Source organism: Homo sapiens, chromosome 11 (assembly GCF_000001405.40).
Source record: "Homo sapiens chromosome 11, GRCh38.p14 Primary Assembly".
NCBI lineage: Eukaryota > Metazoa > Chordata > Mammalia > Primates > Hominidae > Homo > Homo sapiens.
Window position 1 is genome coordinate 13,657,227 of NC_000011.10, and position 24,133 is coordinate 13,681,359.

General features: G+C 41.4%; 1 protein-coding gene across 11 annotated transcripts in view, besides 4 other annotated features; it reads left to right on the plus strand.

Moving 5' to 3' along the window:
- Window positions 10,992–11,481: a silencer, noted in NCBI's record as "silent region_3168". NCBI's record gives its function as "represses an Ori minimal core promoter by ATAC-STARR-seq in GM12878 lymphoblastoid cells {active_cell/tissue: GM12878}" and the evidence as "EXISTENCE:reporter gene assay evidence [ECO:0000049][PMID:35858748]".
- The window catches only part of FAR1 (fatty acyl-CoA reductase 1), a 63,679-nt gene continuing 50,987 nt past the window's right edge, over window positions 11,442–24,133 (plus strand). For all 11 annotated transcript variants that reach the window (NM_001441242.1, NM_001441245.1, NM_032228.6 and 8 more), the window contains exon 1: window positions 11,442–11,580. The gene's annotated coding sequence lies outside the window, so the exon portion shown is untranslated. The remainder of the gene's footprint in view (window positions 11,581–24,133) is intronic.
- Window positions 11,592–11,871: a silencer, noted in NCBI's record as "silent region_3169". NCBI's record gives its function as "represses an Ori minimal core promoter by ATAC-STARR-seq in GM12878 lymphoblastoid cells {active_cell/tissue: GM12878}" and the evidence as "EXISTENCE:reporter gene assay evidence [ECO:0000049][PMID:35858748]".
- Window positions 11,952–12,001: an enhancer, noted in NCBI's record as "active region_4466". NCBI's record gives its function as "activates an Ori minimal core promoter by ATAC-STARR-seq in GM12878 lymphoblastoid cells {active_cell/tissue: GM12878}" and the evidence as "EXISTENCE:reporter gene assay evidence [ECO:0000049][PMID:35858748]".
- Window positions 23,314–23,473: an enhancer, noted in NCBI's record as "active region_4467". NCBI's record gives its function as "activates an Ori minimal core promoter by ATAC-STARR-seq in GM12878 lymphoblastoid cells {active_cell/tissue: GM12878}" and the evidence as "EXISTENCE:reporter gene assay evidence [ECO:0000049][PMID:35858748]".

Consider the following 24,133-nt stretch of genomic DNA (forward strand, 5'->3'; position numbering starts at 1 on the left):
AAACTGGGACCTGTTGGGGAGTGGGGGGGCTCGGGGAGGGATAGCATTAGGAGAAATACCTAATGTAAATGACGAATTGATGGGTGCAGCAAACCAACATGCCACATGTATACCTATGTAACAAACATGCACATTATGCACACGTACCCTGGAACTTAAAGTATTAAAAAAAAAAGAAAAAGAAAAGTTTAATTTCGAAGGTGCAGAACTTAGACCTAACATCATTATCTGAAGATAAGATTGATAGAAAGTGTCTTCTTTTTAACTTAGCTTCTTAATTAGATTACCAGCTTCAGGGTGAAGCCCTTTGTATTAACCTGTTTTCATGCTGCTAATAAAGACCTACCTGAGACTGGATAATTTATACGGGAAAAAAGTTTAATGGACTTACAGTTCCATGTCGCCAAGGTGGCATCACAATCATAAGGGAAGGCAAGGAGGATGGTGGGAGGCAAAGAGAGAGTTTGTGCAGGGAAACCCGTTTTTAAAACCATCAGATCTTATGAGACTTATTCACTATCACGAGAACAGAACAGGAAAGACCCACCCCCTTGATTCAATTATCTCTCACTGGATCCCTCCCACAACACATGGGAATTATGGGAGCTACAAGATGAGATTTGGATGGGGACACAGAGCCAAACAATATGACCCTTCAATGAACAGAGGACAGAAAGCATGCAGTTTTTAGGGCCTAATGTTTACTGAAAGGCAGAAGACTTAGATCCCTCAAAATCAAGGATTCCATTTTACACTGAATCCTGGGTCCTCAAAAAGAAAAACCATGAACTGGTTAATGCAATGCTACCACAGTGCACCTCCTGCAAGACCATTTCCCTGAGGCTGGTGGGCAACCCAATGCCAATCAGCCAATTCAGTGATCAGGCCATCCCCCATGGAGTTTTATCTCTCAGTGTCAAGAGTTTCTGTATCCTCTAGGTACATAAACCAAAGAAAAACAGGTAGCTCCTTGTGGAAATAACTATTTAGTGTAAGCAACTGTCATCAGTCACCTCTAACACTGTAGCTCTTGCCCATGACTGCCAACCATTATACACACTGATGTCAAGTCCTCTCATAGTACAAAGTAACCTCTGGTGTCCCCCCATACCCAAAGAGATCAGACAAAACAATACAAAAGAGAGCAATTTTAAACCTGAGTGGAATCTATCCATTTACAACTTTTAGGGTTCCATGAGGAAAAACAGAGATTCCTTTCCAAAAAAGGAGTCTTTGTCACCTTTCCCTGTTTTTCCCAGGGATCTCAGGTGACATGGTTTGGATCTGTGTCCCTGCCCAAATGTCATGTTGAAATTTAATTCCCAATGCTGGAGGTGGGGCCTGGTGGGAGGTGACTGGATCATGGGAGTGGTTTCTCATGAATGGTTTAGTACCATCCACCTAGTGCTGTTCTCATGATAGAGTTCTCACAAGATCTGATTATTTTAAAATGTGTGGCACTTCACTCCATCTCTCTCCTTCTACTCCAGCCATGGGAAGTGCCGGCTCCTCCTTCACCTTCTGCCATGATTGTAAGTTTCCTGAGGCCTCCCTAGAAGCAGAAGCCACTGTATAGGCTTCCTGTACAGCTGGCAAAATCATGAACCAATTCAACCTTTTTTTCTTATAAATTACCCAGTCTCAAGTATTACTTTATAGCAGTGTGAGAATGAACTAATACAGAAAATTGGTACTGAGGGGTGATGAAGTGCTACAAAGAAATGTGGAAGTAGTTTTGGAAATGTGGAAGTACCTGGAAATGTGGAAGTAGTTTTGGAACCAAGTAACAGGCAAAGGTTGGAAGAGTTTGGAGGGCTCAGAAGAAGATAGAAAGATGAGGAAAAGTTTGGAGCTTCCTAGGGACTTGTTGAATAGTTGTGACCAAAACGCAGATTGTGATATGGACAGTGAAGTCCAGGCTGATGAGGTCTCAGATGGAGATAAGGAACTTATTGGGAACTGGAGCATAGGTCACTTTTGTTACCTCTTGGCAAAGAAGATGGCTGCACTATTGCCTCTGGCCCTATGGATCTGTGAAAGAACTTTAGAGTGATACTATAGGGTATCTGATGGAAGAAATTTCTAAGCAGCCAAGTGTTCAAGATGTGGCCTGGCTGCTTCTAACAACCTATGCTCATATGTGTGAGCAAAGAAATGATGTAAAACTCAAACTTATATTTAAAAGGGAAGCAGAGTATAAAAGTTTGGAAAACTTGCAGCCTGACTATGTGTTAGAAAAGAAAAGCCCATTTTCTGGGGAGGAATTCAAACCAGCTGCAGAAATTTGCATAACTAAAAGGAAGGCAAGTACTGATAGCCAAGAAAATGGGGAAAATGCTTCGAAGGCACTTCAGAGACCCTCGTGGCAGCCCTTCCCATCACAGGCCCAGAGCCCTAGGAAAACAATAGTTTTGTGAACCATGCCCAGGGCCCTGCAGCACTGTGCAGCCTCAAGACACTGATCCCTGCATACAAGTCACTCCAGCTCCAGCTGTGGCTAAAAGGAGCCCAGGTGCAGCTTGGGACACTGCTTCAGAGGGTGTGCAACCATAAACCTTGGTGGCCTCCACATGGTGTTAAGGCTATGGGTGTGCAGAATGCAAGATTTGGGGTTTGAGAGCCTCTGTCTAGATTTCAGAGAATGTATGGAAAAGCCTGGATGTCCAGGCAGAAGCCTGCTGCAGGGGCAGAGCCCTCATGGAGAACTTCTATAAGGGTAGTATGGAAGGGAAATGTGGGATTGGAGCCCCCATACAGAGTCCCCACTGCAGCACTGCCTAGTGGATTTGTGGGAGGAGGGCCACTATACTCCAGACCCCAGAATGGTAGAGCCACCAACAGCTTACAACATGCACTTGGAAAGCCATAAGCACTCAATATCAGCCCATGAGAGCAGCCTTGGGGGCAGAGTTGCCCTAGGCCTTGGGTGCCCACCCCTTGCACCAGTGTGTCCTGGATGTGAGACATGAAGTCAAAGATTATTTTGGAGCTTTAAGTTTTAATGGCTGACCTGCTGTGTTTCAGTCTTGCATGGTGGCTGTAGCCCCTTTCTTTTGGCTGATGTCTCCCTTTTGGAACAGGAGTACTTACCCAATGCCTATACCCTCATTGTATCTTAGAAGTAAATAACTTGTTTTTTATTTTACAGGATCATAGGCGTAAGGAATTTGCCTTGTCTCAGATGACACTTTGGACATCTGAGTTAATGCTGAAATGAGTTAAGATTTGGGGGGACTGTTGGGAAGGCATGATTGTATGTTGCAATGTGAGAAGGACATGAAATTTGGGAGGGATGAGGAGCAGAATGATATAATTTGGATCTGTGTCCCCACCCAATTTCATGTTGAATTGTAATCCCCAATGCTGTAGGTGGGGCCTGGTGGGAGGTGATTGGATCATGGGGGTAGTTTCTCATGAATGGTTTAGCACCTTCCCCCTAGTGCTGTTCTCAAGATAGAGTTCTCATGAGATCTGGTTGTTTAAAAGTGTGTGGCACTTCCCTGCCCCACTTATGCTCCAGCCATGCAAAGTGCTGGCTCCCACTTTGTCTCCTGCCATGATTGTAAATTGCCTGATGCCTCGCTAGAGGCAGAAGCTGATATGCTTCCTGTACAGCCTGCATAACTTGAGCCAATTCAACCTATTTTCTTATAAATTACCCAGTCCCAGGTATTTTTTTTATAGCAGTGTTAGAATGGACTAACACACCAAGCTATTTGAAATTCCCTTTTTCAGGTCCCTCATGTGATATCAAGGGCGTCAAGAGAAAGGAGGGACAGACAGATAGAAAAACAGAATTCAGTCAACTGAGAAGTTTTACAGAGAAAACAGAGGTCTTAAAACAGTATATATGTACTTTTGACCATAGAGCTCTTTAAAAAACACGTTTTAAAAGTGTTTCCTCAAGCCATCTTACTTTGCTTCTGCTGGTAGCTGGGCTTCCATTGTCAAATGGACAGCCCACAGAAGCAGCAATCTGACTGCATCAGCTACTCAGCACCCTTCCTTACAGCAGTGTGATGTGTGACAGATGGCTCATAGTTAACGATTGCTCTAAACCCATCAGCATTTTCAGGGTGTTTCTGGATTTGCTTTGTGGCCCACCAATGTCTAACAGGTAAGCCACACCACTCCACATTGAAGTGGCTGGCCAGCTTGGGATTTCCCCCATGGATGCTTTATTTCCTTTGCCCATTTCTTGTTCTCTCAGCTCCTGCCTGCCTTGCCACATTTCTGTGGTAGGCAGGTCTATGCAAATCTACCCCCAGAAGTCCAAGGGAGCTGAGAGGCTGAAGAAAGAAGCTGAAAAACTAAGTTTCTCAAAAACAAAACAAAAAACCATTTAATAGGGACTTACAAATGGAAGCTATGTCTGTGTTTTGGGCAGCAGCAAGACAAGAAGGTGGACCCCCCCATAACATTACCTCCTGGACACAGGGCTTATACACCATAGGGAGGGAATGTGTAGGGCAATTGTAGGAAAAGCCAAAAATGTTACATGAATATACCTAGGGTCTGATTTATGGTCAAGGTTGTTTTGACCTAAGGACAGGATTTAAGGTAGGTACATGCTCTTACACAAGGAACAGTACATAAAATAGAAATCTTCTTCTTCTTTTTTTTTTTTTTTTAGACAGAGTCTCTCTCTGTTGCCCAGGCTGGAGTGCAATGGCACGATCTCAGCTCACTGTGATGTCCACCTCCTGGGTTCAAGCCATTCTTCCACCACAGCTTCCCAAGTAATTGGGATTATAGGCATGTGCCACCAGGCCCGGCTAATTTTTTTTTTTTTTTTTTGTATTTTTAGTAGAGATGGGGTTTCACCATATTGGCCAGGCTGGTCTTGAACTCCTGACCTCAAGTGATCCACCCACCTCAGCCTCCCAAAGTGCTAGGATTACAGGCACTGTGCCTCATGCCTGATGTCTAGTAAATGTTTTAAACTGAATCACACAACGTTATGACATTGTCACTGGCAGCCCATTAAGCACCAATACCCTACTACCTGGCACCCATATGGGCCTTCAGTAATATTTGTTGAATGAACAGAAGGAAATTGTCACTCTAGCCTAGCCTGTGACCTAGTAGGAACACTTCTGGGCATCTCTCTTAATTCCTCTCTTTCCTTTACTTCTCCTACATGAGTTACCAGTTTTCGTCAATTCTACTTCTGAGATACCTTTTGTGGCCCTGTCCTCTGCATTCTCACTACCACTGCCCAAAATTATAGCCATTTAAACTTCCTATCTTTGTTTCCTATTCTCCCACCCCAAGTCTTTTCCCCTCTTTAGTTCAACTTCCATGTGACCACTGGAGTTATCTTTCTAAAGCTCAAGAAACATCAATCCTTTTTATTAAAAATATCAATGGTGTGTTGCTTTCATGACTTTTCATATCTTGCTTTAATCTATTTTTCCAACTTCATTTCTTACTACTTTTCAGCGAGCACCCTGCCCTCTATGCCAAACTTGAGAAACAGCAAGCTATTTTTAACATTTCAACTTGCTAGTCACTCTTTCATGTTTATGTAACATTCTACATGCTCATCTTCTGCCTGGGAAATACTTATCAATATCCTTACTCACTCATTGGGATTCAAGTCATATATTACCTCCTCTGTGATGCCTTCCTAGAATCTCCTACACAGTTGTTCCTCTGTGTGCCCACAATACTTTCTATTGACTTTTCCTATAGCAGTTATATTTTATTGTGTTTATCTTTTTTGCCTTTTTTTTTTTGAGACTGAATCTTGCTCTATTGTCCAGGCTGGAGTGCACCAGCACTATCTTGGCTCACTGCAACCTCCGTCTCCCGGATTCAGGTGATTCTTGTGCCTTAGCCTCCAGAGTAGCTGGGATTACAGGTGCCTGCCACTACACCCGGCTAATTTTTGTATTTTTAGTAGAGACAAGGTTTCACTATGTTGGCCAGGCTGGTCTTGAACTCTTGACCTCAAGTGATCCACCCGCCTTGGTCTCCCAGAGTGCTGGGATTACAGGAGTGAGCCACCACACCTGGCCTTTTTTGCCATCTTGACAAATGCTGTCCAACAGGAAGATAATACAAGCCACATATAATTTATTTTTATTGTTTTTTAGAAAGAGTCTTGCTCTGTTCCCCAGGTTGGAATGCAGTGGTGTGATCATAGCTCAGTGTAACTAACCTCAAACTCCTGGGCTCAAGTGATCCTCCTGCCTCAGCCTCCCTAGTAGCTAGGATTATAGGCATACGCTACCATTCCTGGCTAACGGCCACATATAATTTTAACTTTTCTAGTAGCCACATAAAAAAAAAAAGTAAAAAAAAGAAACAGATGAAAGTAATTTTAATTATATATCTATAAATAACTGGCTGCTCTAAGAAATACCAGAACAGAATGATTGAATGGCTTTGTTTATGGAGAAACTGTAATCTGTGCACTGTTCTCTACTTTGGATAACTGGAGATTAGCAAATGAGTCAAATGTTTTATTTCCTTAGAGTCATACCTTTGTAGACACTGACAAGCTTTTTTACACATAGGTGTGGTTGGCTGTGTGAAGTTCTCCCAGTTTAGGGCCTTTGTTTGCAAATATATCCAGGAGGAGGCCTTACCTTAGAAGCCCAAGGGTGTGCTGGTAGTGACTTTAGGGACTTTAGGTACTATTCTCAAGAAGCACCACCCAAAGAACAGGGCAAGTCAGAGTCTGGGGCTTACATCTTGGACATGCTATGACCTTAGATAAAAGATGTCGAATTAGTCATTCTCATTTCTGGGCATCTGTGGCAGCTCTGTTCTGACTCATGTGCAAAGGGAGTAAATCCCTAAGAAAGAAAGAAAAAGAAAAGAAGACAGGAAAAAGAAGAATAATTTCCAGAGTTCTATACAGTTACTATTGCTCCCAAATGAGCTCCAAATCATGGCAATGCTACCCACAAAAGACAGACAGAACAATGACCATCTAATGAGATGTGGAAATAAATTGGCCAACAAGATGCCTTCTTTTCACAATGATGCTTGGGAAATTGACAACAGATGGTATCTAAAACATGTTACAAATACTGTGCCTCTTCTTTCCAAGACCTGGGAGCTGGGTAATACCAGGGCACTTTTATCAATCAACAACGTCTAGAGGAGATAGTCGAGAACCAGAAAGTCAATAGTCAAGACACAAAGAATAATTTAGAAGATCGAGGGACATAGCAGCTCCATTTTTGTTCCACTTAGATTAAACTTGTGGAATATCTGAGGGTCAGAGCATTCCCCTCCAGATGAAAACCAAACTTATTTCACAGACCTCTGAAACACCCAGAACAGATACTGGGGAAATGAAGCCACAGGAACCTGTGTGTACTTGCCTAGACAGGCAATCAATGTACTGGTGGAAATGTTAAAACCTTAATAGGATTTTTTTGTTTTTGTTTTTACTAACAGGCTTTAAAAATATTTTTAAAGCAGACCTATTCTGGAAGTCATGATTGGGTGCAGGGCAAGGCAGATACCATAAAATGAACTACAGAGAATACTGCTCTCATTAAAATTTAGTTCACTTGGGAAAAGTTGCCTGTAACTCTTTCTATGCTGAGAGTGAACATCTCTGGTGCATTCTAGACAGTTATGATGGGTTTTCCACAGCAACTACAAAGAAAGTTGTATTCTCATTAGTTTTATCAAAACAAATATTTTTAATGTGCTACAGTTACTTTTAAATAGTTTATACTTTCTATTGTCATGCAATCTGTAAAGTAAAGCATGGTGAAAAGAAGGATTAATTTGGTGAATTCCATGATGGGTGTGTATATAAGATGCTGGGCCAGGCGTGCTGGCTCACGCCTGTAATCCCAGCACTTTGGGAGGCCAAGGCGGGTGGATCATGAGGTCAGAAGTTCGAGACCAGCTTGGCCAACATGGTGACACCCTGTCTCTACTAAAAATACAAAAATTAGCCAGGCATGGTGGCAGGTGCCTCTAATTCTAGCTACTCGGGAGGCTGAGGCAGGAGAATCACTTGAACCCAGGAAGGCAGAGGTTACAGTGAGCCGAGATTGCATCACTGCACTCCAGCCTGAGGGACAGAACAAGACTCCGTCTCAAAAAAAAAAAAAAAGGCTGAAGGCTGGGCACGGTGGCTCACACCTGTAATCCCAGCACTTTGGGAGGCCAAGGCGGGCAGATCAGAGGGTCAAGAGATTGAGACCACCCTGGCCAACATGGTGAAACCCCATCTTCACTAAAAGTACAAAAAAAAATTAGCTGGGTGTGGTGGTGCGCACCTGTAGTCCCAGCTACTCGGGAGGCTGAGGCAGGAGAATGGCGTGAACCGGAGAGGCAGAGCTTGCAGGGAGCCGAGATTGCACCACTGCACTCCAGCTTGGGCGACAGTACGAGACTCCTTCTCAAAAAAAAGACTCTGTACTACTTATTGTGAGGGATACAAAGATGTATAATGACAAGACATAATGACTTGGTCTGGTTTTGGAAGAGGCAAATGAAGCATAAGTAGAAAGATAATGGGGCTTGCCATCAAATCTATCTAGATTTTAATCCTACTTCTGCCACCTAACAGCTATGTGTCTTTAGACAAGTTACTTGCCTCACTGAGCCTCAAGTTTGTCTTCTACAGAATTTAGATGAATAGATGAATACTTGCATAGGGCTGCTGTGAGGATAAAGTGAAGACTTCATCAGAACTATACTGAATAAGACATTTCCACAAAAAAAGTGTTAGAAAATGACACATGCCAGAAGAAAACTGTTTCCTCAGAGCAGTATTTGCATAAAAATGCTTGAACTTGTTTTTTGTTTCTAAAAATGTTATGAAATTCTGAGAGTCATAATAGCCACGTTATGGCCAATATGCCAACCACGTTAAGGGTAGCATATTCGTTTTGGTCTTTATTCCTATATATTTTCTCAATGATATATAGTATCTCCCTTTAGGCTAGAAACTATAATGGTACATTTTTGGCTTGGTGTAATTTACCTTCATTTAAAAGATATTGTTTCTATAGCATGGATCAAAAAGATGTAGAGTTGTTTCATGTTTGAATAAAATTATAATGCAGTTGATACCAATATATGGCGCCCAATTTTCAGGGATCTTGCTGAATAAAGATGGGAAAGGCAGATGAATGAATGATTGATGTCATTACATTTTTCTAGTTTAAACTCTGGTGCAAAATCTTTCACTGCCTTTTATTACTCACTTTTTGTAGATTTATTAATTCTCTGAATTCATTTAAGAATGATAGTATATTATGGAAGATTCGAGTCATACAACATGCCTTACCCATGAAATTGTACCATCTTGGAGAGTGATCCATTGTTTTTTAAAGTCTTCCTCCAGAAAGCACTCTGTCCATTTGTGGGGGTCTGCCGGAGGCACACATTTCATACACATTGACTTGAATCAAATGAGATCCCTTTGTGCTCTCAAGTGTACGGCTATTTTTGAGAATCATTTATTAAGTGATTACTTAATAATTACATCATATTTTCCTCAGAACTAAGCATTACTTTGCTTTTGTACTTATATCAATTTTTAAAATTAAGACATATGCACAAACAACAAAAAGTTTATGAAGTATTTTCTGGAAATAGTGTCTATTTCCTATAGTGATATTACCCTATCAGTATACTGATAAACCTTAGCAGTGGTTAACTTAGCTACACATGTTCTAACATGCTCCTGAATCCCCCATGCTGGGTTACATCCTCTTTCTAGGTATTCCCTCATCCTGTATTACACTGGCATTGTTTATGTCTGTCTCTCCATTAAACCCTATGTTCTGTGGAATACTGTCATATCCAAGTTTATATGCCTAGTGTAGTGACAAGCACTTTAAATAAAGGCATTTACCTGATTTAAACAACTTAATGACTAAATTAATAAATATGAATACTGTAATCTTTGTTTTGTTGCTTGTGTTCTTTTACAGATTAGAATTTGGTCCATAGTTCTTACGTTTGTTTTGGGAGAATATTTTGACCCACTTCTAAGAAGTGTTTCACCTGATCCTGGCTATTTATGACTATGGCTATTGGACTGGATGGGTTCCAGGCATACACTGTCTTGCCTAAAGTAGCGGAATGCGACATCCCTGAGGGTAAGCAAGTGTGTTAGCTTTGTGTTCTGTGCCCTCCTCCAGAAATGACAGTACTTGCTGCAAGACTGTGAGCTCATCGAGGCAGAAGCCATGGCATTCAAATTAGTTTCCTGAGCCAGAACTTAACATCTGCCACAAAGTAGGCAGTTCAGTGAGCTTTTGTAGTTTCCAACTGGATGCAGCACTATGACTGCTTTTAGCTACTAACAGGGCCAGGCACTGAAACAAGCTCTAAATCCCCACAGAAAAATCACTCTGAGCCATCCATCCCTAAATACCAACCTGTGCATGCTATTCACCGTGCCAAGAGCGTTCACTCATTTTTGCTTCTCACAAATCTTTTTTTTTCTTCCTATGGCTTGCATGTTTTGAATGACAGCTAAATCCTAATGCGGACTGTTTATACAATGGAGTCCCACGGAGCCCAAAGATTGTGGTAATATTATTACAGAATTCTCATGATCCTTTTATTATTTTTTAAAAATGAGCCGTATGAATGTGGTAATACTATTAAGTGTCCGGCTCGATGAATTCCTCCATGTGTACACAGCCCGGAACGACCACCAGGATCAAGACGCAATGTTTCCAGCTTTCCATAGGTTCCCTCGTGCCCCACCCCTCAGAAGTAAACGTTATTCTAACTCCTATCACTACCGGTAAGTTTTGTAGGGAATTATTTTGGAGGAAGTGGAAGGTGGAATGAATGGGCCCACAGTCCCCTGGGACTGGGCGAGACCCGTGGAGGCTCCAGGGGTCCGTAGAGCTCTTCGCTCTCACCGACCCGGGCCACACCCGCCAAGCTGGTAGTTCTCCGAACGGATCCCTCACGCCCAGCAATGGCCGGAGGGCCCCCGGGCCCCACCATAATAGCGCTAAGCACGCCACAATGGCAGCCCCGCTGTCTCCCGCGCGGGCCTCGCTGCGTGCTCCCAACCTTGGGAGTTGGCGCCCCTCCCGCGCGACGGACAGCCGGGCGTGGCCCTGGGCGCGACCCGACAGGACGCCAGCAGCCGGCGGGGGCGCTCCAGGACTCGAGATGTGGGGCGCGGGCCCATTGGCTGAGCATTCCCCCGCGAGCCTCCCGGCCGCAGGGCCCACCTCCCGGCCCTCTCTCCGCGCCCCCATTGGCCGTTCGCGTTCCGCGGGCGTCCGCTCCCGCCCCACTCCCGCCCGGAGGGAAACCGGGTTGGGGGTGAGAGGCTAAAGCAGGGAGGAGGATGACTGGTCCTGCGGATAAGGGTGTGCGCGAGAGCCAATCAAAAGCGGATGTCGAAAAGAGGCGCCGCTCCAGCCAGTCACGTCGCGAGGTGCGGTCGGGGCCGGCTGACGCGACTGCGGGCCTCAGCCAATGGGCGTGCCACTGCCCGTCCGCTCTTCAGCAGCCGGTCGCGGGCGGTGGAAAAGCGAGTGAAGAGAGCGCGACGGCGGCGGCGGCGGCGGCGCAGCTATTGCTGGACGGCCAGTGGGAGAGCGAGGCCTGAGCCTCTGCGTCTAGGTGAGAAGGGGGTGCGCCAGCGGGAGCGGCCGGGCTGCGGGCTCCTCCTCGCCTGGCTCGGGAAGTGGTTGCGGGAGCTCGGGCTGCAGGCCTGGCCGAGGCGGGGGCGCCGACCAGCCGTCCCGCCCCCGCCCCCGCCCGGGTACGCCCAGAAGTGAGGGCGCCCGCCTCACCCCGGGTGGTCTCTGCCCCTCTTTGCCCCGCCGCCGCCCTTCACAGGGCCGGGACCGCGTGGGGGACGTACGGTGGGGCCTGGTTTGCAGCCGCGGAGCCCGGGGAGCCGCCTGGGGTGGGAGGCCGCTAGAGGTGGCGAAGGTGGGGCGGGGTGGTTAGCCGAGCAGCGGGCTCCGCGTGCTCGCGGGAGGGTAGCGGCAAAGGGAGGCCTAGTGATTGCAGGATTCCGGGTCTGGGGAGGAAGAAAGTGGTGGGAAATAGGTGATGCTCAGAAAAGGGTGCTGAGGGAGAAGGCGCGGGGCCGGGGAGTGTGGTTGGCCTATTAGAAGTAAGGATTGATAGGGCCTGGGTGGAGATCAGCTGGGAGTGAAGGGGGGACGGGCTTGGGTTTTGAAGGTGAAGGTCTCTGGAGAACTGGGGACACGTGGATCTGGAGTAAGAGGCACCTACTGAAACCGGAAGGTGGCTGAGAAGGTTTTATGTGAGGTGTGGACGGGAGGCTATTGGACTAGAAGGCATTAGTTGGTCTGTTAGGACAAAGTATACAAGCAGCAAACGCGGTAGATTTATGTGTGGTAGGTGAAGGCTGTGAATCTTTTATGAGTAGTTGAGCAAGAACAGTTGTCTGATTCTGCGGTGTCGGAGAGTGGAGGGTCTCAGGTAGTGTCTTGGTCAGGTTTGAAGGTTAATTTACTGCTAGTGGAGGGCCAAATACTCAAAAGAGTTTTTAATTCTCACTACTGGGGCTGATCCTCCTCCTACACTCCACCCCTCCTGCCATCCCTGTGACAGTTCATCTCGTTTTGCCTCAGCAGCACAAGAACTCACTCCCTCCGAAGTAATGGCATACATATTGTTTGCTTTTGACTAGATGGCAGTCAGGAATCCCTTAATTCTTTATGTTAAAAAAAAAAGTGTTGGTTTAAAGACAACATCAGAAGATACTCTCAGAAAATCTGCCCTCCAGGGGAGTTTCTCAGCTGTCATGTTGGGCATGTGTAATATAGCATAAAAATGATGCAAGATCTCTTACAGTAATACAAGTGAGAATTAACGTATAAGTACAATCCTGATGTATTTTTTTCAAATTAATTTAAAAAGTAAACAGAGACAGGGTTTGCTGTCGCCCAGGCTGGAGTGCAGTGGCGAGATCATAGCTCGTTCCAGCCTCAAACTCCTCGGCCCAAGAGATCTTTCCACCGTGGCCTCTCAAAGGCTTGGGATTACAGGGGTGAGCCACCCCACCCAGGCCCTGTTATTCCATACATTTTCCATAAAATTATTTTATAATTTTTGTTTTGTTTTGTTTTTATTTTATAAATTTGTGTGTGTGTGTCTCGCTTTGTTGCCCAGGCTGGAGTGCAGTGACGCGATCTTGGCTCGCTGCAACCTCCACCTCCCAGGTTCAAGTGATCAGCTCTTGCCTCAGCCTCTCGAGTAGTTGGGACTACAGAGACATGCCCCACCGCACCGGCTAATTTTTGTATTTTTAGTAGAGGCGGGGTTTCACCATATTGGCCAGGCTGGTCTCGAACCCCTGACTTCAAGAGATCCATCCGCCTCGGCCTCCCAAAGTGCTGGGATTACAGGCGTTAGCTGCCGCGCCGGCCAAAATTATTCCATAAATTTATCCATAAAAATTCCACATAAATTTTCTGGAGTTTGATTATGTATTAGGCTTGTTGGGAAATTTATTACCCTTGTGAAGAATTTTGTAGCTAAGTAGCTTGAGGGTTTTTTTTTTTTTTTCACTCAGGAAAGACATGGTATGTATGCATCACTGCTATTCTATTTGAAGCTTTTGGAATTTTTATTTATGGGGTGTGGATAGAGGCTGGAGGCAGAGACTGAGGTCAGAGAAGAGGTAGTAGAAAAGAAGGTGGCCCACTACCATATTTCCAGTGTATTTAAATGGGAGATAGAGTTTCTGTTTGAGGATAGGACAAAAGGTTTGTGAAGAGTTATAGAGTCAAGGACAGAAGCCAAAGAGAGCATTTGCTGTGTAACATGTTTGCTTGTTAACCAGATCAGCAAAGCATTTTAACTAATGGACCATTATTTATGATCTAGAAACAATTTTGTGAAAGCGATTTCTTAGTGATGCTGTTTACTGTGATCACATTTGCCCTTAGTATAACAATACCTAAGTGCTGAGGCGACTTGCAGTAGAGAAGTAATCTGAGTGGCGTGGAGTGAATCAGGGAAGGTTTCCTGAAAGAGGTGAGTTTTGAGCCATCATGTGAACTAGAAGTTGGGATGTGGGTTATTACAAGACATGAGGATGACATTCCAGTAGTTTGTACTTGGTATAAGCAACTGTGGACAAGAGTGACAAATTAAAAATGGTTTTTAAGGATGATTGAAGATTCGAATGAAGATTTAGGGGTTTGGAAATCAACCAAGGCTATGTTGCAGCTTAGCTGATAAATAATTTTTTATGTTGGTTAGGAGAGAAAATTAACAGTTGATAATGGATTGGAGATAGGTAGTAAAGGAAAGAGCATAAAATATTTGATAGTTATAGGAGAATGAAGTGAAAGTAAGGTTATTGAGAGGTAGGTTTAACAGTCAACCATATATCATAAGTTGGAAACATTTTTGAGTCCTGTGCTAGAGTATATTGATAATAATAGCAAAATTTATTGGGTGCTACTTTGTGGCAGACACTGTTTTGAACCTTCCAAATATTATCTCATCTTCTGATTATCTGTATTTTATAGATGAGGGAGATAAGACTCAGAGAGATATAACTTGCCCAAGGTCACACAGCTAGGAGGGGACAGGTCAGGATTGGCAGAATCAGTCAGTAAATGTTAATTGAGCATCTGCTTGATGCCAGGCACTGTAGTAAGTGCTGGGTGTTCAATATTGACAAGAAAATTCAAGTCAGACCTCATCTATTTTCTAGAGATTGTCAGTTTATGTAAGAAGAGCCAGTGAAGAAAGAAAAAGATTAGTTGGAGAGATTTCTGTAGATACTGAGGAATACACTGTTTAGAGAAACCTGGGATAGAGTTTTAAAGAGGTGGTGGTTAGCAACAAAGTATATAGCTGAGAGACTCAGAACGATTGAGAAGAAACCATTGAGTTAAGTAAGTAAAAAAGTAATGTGAATTTAGTCACAAGAAAGCTGGAATGAAGATATTAATGTTTGGGCTGGTAGTTAATTGTGTTTAGTGGCAGGTACTCTATACAAATTTAAATATTTTCACAGTTATGGTCAGATTCATAGGAAAGATGATGGTATGACCCCTTGTAATGTTTTAATCTTTGGCTGGAAGATCATGGATGCTTTAAAATGCTTGCACTTTTTAGTTTTTTCAAATTTAAAAAAATGAGCAGGCAGACCGCCTGAGCTCAAGAGTTCAAGAGCAGCCTGGGCAACATGGCAAAACCCCTTTTCTATCCAAAAAAAAAAAAAAAATTAGTTGGGCAAGGTGGTGTGCACACCTGTAATCCCAGCTACTTGGGGGGCTGAGATGGGAGCCTGGGAGGTTGAGGCTGCAGTGAACCTTGATCATGCCGCTGTACTCCAGCCTAAGTGACAAAGTGAGACCCTGTCTCAAAAAAAAAAAAAAAAGTGAGCATTATTTTTATAATTAGTGGGGACAAGCATTCAACTGAAATGAGCTAATACTCAGGAAAATGTGGGTAGGCTAGTCTGAACTTGGGGTAGGAGAGAAGATAGTCTTATTTCAGTCCCTACTTGGTAAGAGCCACCTTGGTAGGTGTGTTCCTATCTTGGAAATGACTGGATTGTCACTGATGGAAACTGAAACTGTATGTACTGAAAGGTGGTATTTGCTTAACCTGAAGGATCAAGTTACTAACCCACCCTGAATGGTGGAGATACAGTCTTTGTTTTCCTGAACACTTGTTTTCTTAGAGTTTAATACATGAATTTAAGGTTTAAAAAAACCCAACAAACCACTGATAGAATTGTGTCATTTTAACTGCTTCTTTTGGCTTTATATCCTTCTTCCTACACATTGGTTCTATAGTTCCTCTCATTAATGGGTTTGCAACAGGCTTAGAGTTTCAGTTCAGTAAGACAAAATGGAAGTGCTGGATTTAGATATAGCTGATCAACTTAAACACTTATAAATTCACCATTGTTTTCGGTTCCCAATTTGAAGAGTGGAGACAGAAGTCAAGAAAATAAGCTTTTCTTATTCAAAGAATGATTCCCAAACCAATAGGATTTGCCCTAGGATCAGTACAGACTTATTACAGTCTCCTAAACAGAGAGGAAAGAGTTGCGTAAATTCATCTAGCTTTTAGTTTAATTTCACTTAGCCCATAGGGATTCTGAGAGGAAACGATATTAATGTGATTCCTATTTCATCTAGGCACTGTAGCATAATCCTTCAACAAATTACCACATTTGATTCTCATATAATTCTCTAAAATGTGAATACCATATTACAGATGAGGAGAGTGAGACTCAGAGAAGTTAGTAACTTTCCAAGGTTGGAGAGCTAAGTGACAGAGCTGGGATTCAAACCTTTCTTTGTCTAACTCCAAAACTCCATGCTTGTGAAACTAATAGCACGGAGGACTGATTTATACCTTCAACTGAAAAAAAATGCCACAAGCCTTAGGTATTTGTTACCTTAGAAGATGAGACTCTTGCTCTGAGTGTTTGTGCTCTGTGACACTGCCTCTAAATAAATGACAGTGATTTTTTAGTGTCTAATAGGATACCTTATATTTTCTTGCTTTAGAGATGTATGTTTTCATATTTTAGAATTTTTTGAAGATGTATATTGTCTATATTTACTTCAAAATGTTTGTGAAATGGTTACTATGTCTTAAATGTATCTCAAAATTGATGAAGCATGGCATATGCCTGTAGTTTTCACACATAAGTATCTTACCAATTTGTTGTGCACTTTTTCTTCCCAGCCTTCCCCATCTTATCCTATTATTTTTTTAAATATGATTTAATAAATAATTGAAATATATACTACCAATAAAATAACTCATTCTCTTTCATTAGTTAACATTACAGTGTACAGAAAAGCATTATGATGTAGAAAATTCAAATTGGGCCGGGTGCGGTGGCTCACGCCTGTAATCCCAGCACTTTGGGAGGCCGAGGTGGGCGGATCATGAGGTCAGGAGTTCGATACCAGCCTGGCCAATATGGTGAAAACCCCATCTAGTAAAACTACAAAAATTAGCCGGGCGTGGTGGCGCCCACCTGTAGTCCCAGCTACTCGGGAGGCTGAGGCAAAAGAATTGCTTGAACCCGGGAGGCAGAGGTTGCAGTGAGCCAAGATAGCGCCACTGCACTCCAGCCTGGACAACAGAGCAAGACTCCGTCTCAAAAAAAAAAAAAAAAGAAAAAAAGAAAATTCAAATTGAACTGTGAATCAGCAGATCTGAGCTTTAATTTTGGTTTTGTTAGCTACTTGATGTGTAACTTGCTAGGCAAGTCACTTCCCCTCTATGGGCTTTAGTTTCCTCATCTGTAAAATGGAGGGGGAGGAGAAATTTTAAGCCCGTCTTCCTTGAATAGGTTGTATGCCTTCTTTCTAATTAAAAACATAGATGCCCTAGATGCCTTTCTTAAAAACTGTATTACTGCATTTTACAATATTTTCTTTTAATCTTCCTTCTTTCCCTTCTTAATTTAGTAGAGAGGATAAATTATTTTTGGTATCCTACATTTACCAGGACAGCATATCTTAGGAAGCAGGGACCCAGAAAATAATGAATGAGTGAATATATGTTTTATTTGAGCTAATGAAAAATTTTTTAAATAAAGTACCGTCAAAAAGATGTTGAAGTTTCATTGAAAAGTAGTTCTACCTAAAGAATGAAACGTGTTTAGTAAAGTTCAATTGGTCTGTTCTGTATTGGATAGATGTACAAAGAAGAACACTCTTGAACTTGTCTTTAAGAAGCCCTCTTACTAGTAGGAGAGGCAAGCTTCTAAACTTTGTATTATGGAAAATTGACAGCAATAATACACACATCACCAACTTTAAGAGTTACTAACTTGTGGTCAGTCTTGCTTCATCCATACCTCCATCCACTTCCTTCTTTATTTTGAAGCAAATCCCTAGACTTTTTTTTTTTTTTTAACCAGTTGTTACCATGCAGTGTGATAAGTATAATAATAGACATGTTAATCCAAGTGAGGTGCAAATTTGTTCATATAAATATATTTTGAGACTTGAGCATTATACTGTTCTGGGCACGAGAAATTAGATATAGTAAGCTACTGTAGGGCAGGGATAATATAATTGAAGAGACTGTACATATGTGAAACAGAATGTAGCAACACTGGATCATGTGCCAAAATTGGTGGTAGAGACTCTTAAGTGGGAACTGACATTATTTTAGAATGAAAGTAGAACTTAAACAAGTGGCGATAGAGAGAAAGAACATTCAGGGATAAGGTGAGGGTAATCACATGGATAAAGCGTGCGGTTAGGAAATCTAATTTTGGCGCTATAGAATAAGTTATATCTAAATCTGTATCTCTCTATCTTTATCTTTTAGACTACTACAACATGTAATTGGCATACTGTAGATGTTATATCAGAACTTGAACAAAGCCGGTTGCTGTAGCAGAAATTAGGACACACTACTTTGTGAATATATCACTGTTCGTGGTTAATTTTTTGGCACGTTCTGTTAAAAAGCCTTCTAAATATCTTAATACCACATGTATTAATGGATCCATTCTTGTTAGAATGTTTGTGGGTTTGTGCCATCAGCTTTGGTGTGCAGTTGTGTGTGTGTGTTTAACTTAAATGTTAACTATTTGACAATTTTAAGATTATTTTGAAATATCTAGTTTAGATCATTCTTGTCTTACATGAAATTTTTTCCAGAAATGTTGGCATAATTCATGAGAAATCCTTGAATTTAGGGAATTGTTACCATTATAGCTTATTTTGAAGTATTCTGAGAATAAAATCTTAAAGTATATTCCCTAATGCAGAAATTGCTTGTCAAAGGTCATGAACTTCTCTGAGCATCTCCTCAAAGTGTTGTGCTATCTCATCAGAAAAATGTACGTTCAAATATCCTTGGGGGGTCTGTGGATTCTGTCTTAATAATTTATTCTTTAATGTGTAGGCAGAAAGCATACTGCTAAAATTCAACTCAATTATCTTTCTGTGTGTTCTGCTTGCCTTTTACAAACAAGTGTTTTTAATTATTAAGAGTGATAAAATGATAAAGCTTATTATTGCAAATGCCTAATTAAAAAATTAGACATTCTTAATTGAATTCTTGGGGAAAAACAAGCTGTAGCCAGTTTAATAAATAGGAATTATTTCACTAAAGATTTTGGAATAAGCATGTGGTACTTTATTTATGGCTCCTGTCCATCCTGGATTAACAGGAAGTAGAATATATGACATATGAATGAATAAATGCATAAATACCTTTTTTTCCCCCAGAAGTAAAAACTTTGACTTACTGTGTCCTTAGGCAGTTAAGATCTGTGGAGGAAAGGATCTGCTAAAGTATTTTGAGGTTCACATCTGTGTTGAAACAACCAGAAGTAATGCAGGAGCTTAGAAACTGTTTTTGGCTGACAAAGGATTGATTCTCAGTGGAGCCCTGAGATACAAGTGCTCATAGTTCACTTAGTTTGAGGAATGGCCCTAAATGAGTTTCTTAGAAATAGGTGGTTTTAAAAACTTGTGGATTGTAATTAAAATGTAATTATGATAATGATTATGAGCATAAGCAGAATTCTCAGGAGATAGGAACAGGTGAATTAGCTGGTAATGGGACATTTGACCCCACAGAGCTGTGCACAGACTGTTCGAAGTTCAGTGAATATTAGGTGAATTGCTTTAAAGTGATACCCTTGTGACCTGTTGGAGTTAATAATTTTTCAAGTACCTAATCTACTAGTAGGAAACAACTTATTCCAATACATAGTAGTAAAAATACAGACTGTGAAAGCCAGAAGAGATTTTAACAATCAGTGATCTGGCCTCTCCTTCAATAAATTTAAAGAGTGATCAGAGAGGTTGACTTGCCTAAGGTCTGTTGGTTATGGCAATCCCAACAGCGTTGTTTCTCATTACCTGATTTTTGGTAAGTCTATTGTGCTTATTTATTTTGTTTGTCTTTTCATTCTGGATCTCAGTATTTGGAGAAGGAAGTATATTAACTTTAGCATGGTAACTAGATTATTGGTAAATTGGCTAAGAATTCCCTGAAATGTTATACCATAATGTTTTTACTTTGCCATCATATACTCCTTCCATCTTTAACATAATAACCCATAGTTACAAGATTTATTAGGGTAGGCGTGTTTTAGGAGCTTAATTCCATTCCACAGTTGGAAACAGATATTAAGAATCCACAGTTCTTAAAACATTTTCCTCATGCTTTTTTATACCTTTCTAGGATGATCTTTGCCTAACAGCATTTAGTTGCAAGCTGTGTCTATGAACTTGGCAAAGTTTTAAAAATAAACTAGGAAAAGATTTTTGAGAAGAGAGTTTGTTATGGGATTTAGTCATTTAAATACATTCCTAAAAGCTGTTTTTTCCCCACTCAAAACTAGACACTGGAAGGATCATTGACATCCAGGTTCAAAGAAGTTACTGCTTACATGACTGATCCCGATTCTGAGTTCTTTTGCCACATTTGGTTCATGTGGAAAGGCTGGCTGGGGCTAAGACTTGCCCGTACATTAGCGACATCATAGCCAGAGTGAGGACCCTTAGAACAGTGCCTGTCAAGCTTTTTTAGTCCTAGCCTTTTGGCTGAGTCATTCTTTAGCTCAATAATTTCTACTTTCTAATGGAATAATAACACTTGTCAAGGTATAAGCATTTTTTGGGAAGAGCTATATGGATGGTTCCTAATTGAATCACAAAAAATATGCTTGTCATAAAGTCTAGACTAATTAGAAAACTGCAGGCCTCAAATCCTAGTGATGGAATTGTATCAATATATTCTCTACAGTTATAATAAAATAACCAAAAACTAAATTGATAACGATGAGCCAAACCTAATGGTAATTTAATTAAAAGGCAAGAATAATGACAATTGAAAACGAAGACCAACTAAAGACAACACAGTTTCACTGATGGCAAGTGCCCCTCTTGAAAGTTACGGACTTCTACGTTTTGAGTATGCATATGTGGTAGGAGCTTGCAGCATTGCCAGTTGCAGCAACTGGATATACTAGTGGAATACAAATTGAAGTTTTTGGTACATTCTAGTAAAGTCTTCATTTTTGCAACTCTTGGTAACTAGCTTAATAGTTTATTCATAAGTAGCTTTATGGATTAAAGGAAGGTCATGTTTTCTTTTTTTTTGAGACTGAGTCTCGCTGTGTCGCCCAGGAGGGAGTGCAGTGGTGCGATCTCCGCTCACTGCAAGCTCCGCCTCCTGGGTTCATGCCATTCTCCTGCCTCAGCCTCCTGAGTAGCTGGGACTACAGATGCCTGCCACCATGCCCAGCTAATTTTTTGTATTTTTAGTAGAGACGGGGTTTCACCGTGTTAGCCAGGACGGTCTCGATCTCCTGACCTTGTGATCCACCCGCCTCGGCCTCCCAAAGTGCTGGGGTTACAGGCATGGCCACGAAGGTCATGCTTTCTAAATCATTTATAGTCCATCAGGAGGCTTGGCCCTTTCTTGGAAAATCATTACTTTTGAAGGCTGGTTTAGTAATCCTTGAGCTTCTCATGAGCATTATTTCCCTAGCTGTGTTGGGACATTTATGAAGAGCAGGGCTTAGATAGAATTTAGTGGGTCTTTTTTTTGTTTTTTACCTCAGGACATTTGTAATCTTTGATATGCTAATATACATCTTTAATCTGGTTGGGATAAAGCATATAGTTTCCTAGCACCATTTACCACAAATGCTGCCTTGGAGGACTGAGTCCTGTTTTTAGGTTCAGGCTTGAGAACAAGATTCAGAAGGCAGCCATAAGAAAGTGACACAAGAAAAATAGAAAATACAGCATATATATGAAGCATACATAATTTACCTTTGTTAATCTTGGGCGAAGCGGTATGTAGTATATATGTAGTGTTCAGGGTAAATATGGTATGTTTTCCTATAACATCGGTTTTACTTCAGTAATTTGAAATATTTTATATAAATCTTCAGGTATATTGTGAAGTCAAATTTTATAAATTTTTTTTAGCAAAAAAGATATTGCAATTCTGTTATAAAAGTTTGAAAAGCTCTGTCTTTGGTAGTACAGTTAAAATATTAGTATATCTTTGTATATTGAAATATGTGTTTCACTTCTCTGAGTCTGAAAGTGTTAGGATTAAAATTTCATGTCTTAATATGAAAACATTATTATTAAGGTAAAAAGTGATCAAGCACAATAGTTTACCTAAAAAAAGAGTCATGTATGACTTACGGGAATTACTTTATTTAAAAAAACTGTTTTCTTCCCCTAGAAGGAAATTGAATACATGTTTTTGCAAGCAGCAGACTGTTTTTTCCCCCTCCAATTTCTCTAACTTAACTAATTGTTAGAACTATTTACTTTTTTGTTATTTTGGGTGCTTCTTCCTGTTTATTATTCAGTGTTATCAAGCTGTGTGTTAACAAGAACACAGCCCACCTTCTGTAGGCTTTATAGTAGAGAAGTTACCCTACTGGTTCTGGCCTTAAGGACAGAAACAGAAACAAAGGAAAATGTATATTATTGAAAAATTTGTTTTCTGATCAGCAGATAATTTTAGTGCTACAAAACTGACATTTCCTCTCTCATAGAGTAGAATTTGACTTTTTAAAGGTGTCTTTATGTTTGATTTTTACATCACTCAGAGGAATTCTGAATCTTATTTTTCTCAGTGTGTAACATTTCCCAGGATAGTAAGATCCTAGAAGCATTTTAACTCTTGTCAAAGTGCCATGCTTATGGAACAGCATCATTATATGAAACAGTTGTATAGTGGCCTAAGAACTAATGAACGTCTTTAGATTCCTTACTACCGAGAAGTGCCTTGGGGGGAAGTATTGGGGAAAATAGGATATAGACAGTTAAATATTGGTAAATCAGTGCTTGTGTAGGCAAACAAAGTGGCCATTATATCTACTTCAATGGGTACTTACCACAGGGTTGGACACTAGCATCTTTTATTGAAAAAAGAAATGTTAACCAGGATGCTACAGCTGATCTTTATTTGTGGAAAATGCTCAATAAGCCTTAATTTTTGAAAAAGGAAAAAGGAACCCACTGTTATTAGGAGCTTGACTACACTAAATAATTTGTACACTTTGGGTTTGCATTTTGGCTCTTTTTTTGTTGCTTATAGATTTCTTTCAGGTGAGGTTTTCTTTTTTGAGATAGGTTCTCACCCTGTTGCATAGGCTGGACTCAAACTCTTCGCCTCATGCACTTCTTCTGCTTCAGCCTCCCAAGTAGTTGGGCACACAGTTGTGTGCCACTGTGCCTGGCTCAGAGGATGTTTTCTTTGATGTTGAGTCTGTCTTAGTCCATTTGTATTGATATAAAGGAATACCTGAAGCTGGGTAATTTGTAAAGAAAAGAGGTTTATGTGGCTCACAGTTTTGCAGGCTGTACAAGAAGCACGGCATCAGTATCTGCTTCTGATGAGGGCCTCAGGAGGCTTCCACTCCTGGTGTAAGGTGAAGGGGAGCAGGCATCACACAGTGAGAGAGGAAGCAAGAGAGAAAGAGGAAGAGCTGCCAGTCTCTTTTCAACAGCCAGTTCTTGTGGCTGAGAACTGAGCCAGTTCTCACTATGAGTGAGAACGCTTAGTGGCACCAAGCCATTAATGAGGAATCTGCCCACATGACCCAAACACCTCCCACCAGGCCCCACCTCCAACATTGGGAATCAGATTTCAACATGAGACTTGGTGGGACCAAACAAACCATATGTAAACCATAGCAGTCTTAATCAAAACATTAAGTGATGATTGCAGTTACCAAAATATAGTAGGAAAAACACTGGAGGATTGGTTTTCAATGCTTCAGATGGGAATCTATCAGAAAATCTTAATGGATATACTTAGCTCGAGGCTTCTTCATAATCTAACTTCTGTAAAACAAGTTGTCTTGCTTTTGACTAGAGGTGTGTCAACTCCAGATGGTAATGCTGCAGAACTTTGCTCCTTAGTTCAGCTAAAACCAGGTTCAGGAGTTCATAGTTAATTGAACATGGGAAAGTTAATTGAACATGGGAATGTGAAATTCTCGTTCAGTAGATGAGGTTATTGGGTAGACAGAATATTTCAAAGTGTGAGATCCATGAGTCCATATTTTTAAAATGGGTTTTGAGTGGCTAAAAAAAACAGTAAGAAACAACTCTTCGTTGTACCGTAGTCCTGTGAAATAGGTCCAACATGGGTTGGTGGTTGACAGTCTCAAGAGTAACAGGCAGTTACTTGATGCTGTTTGTGA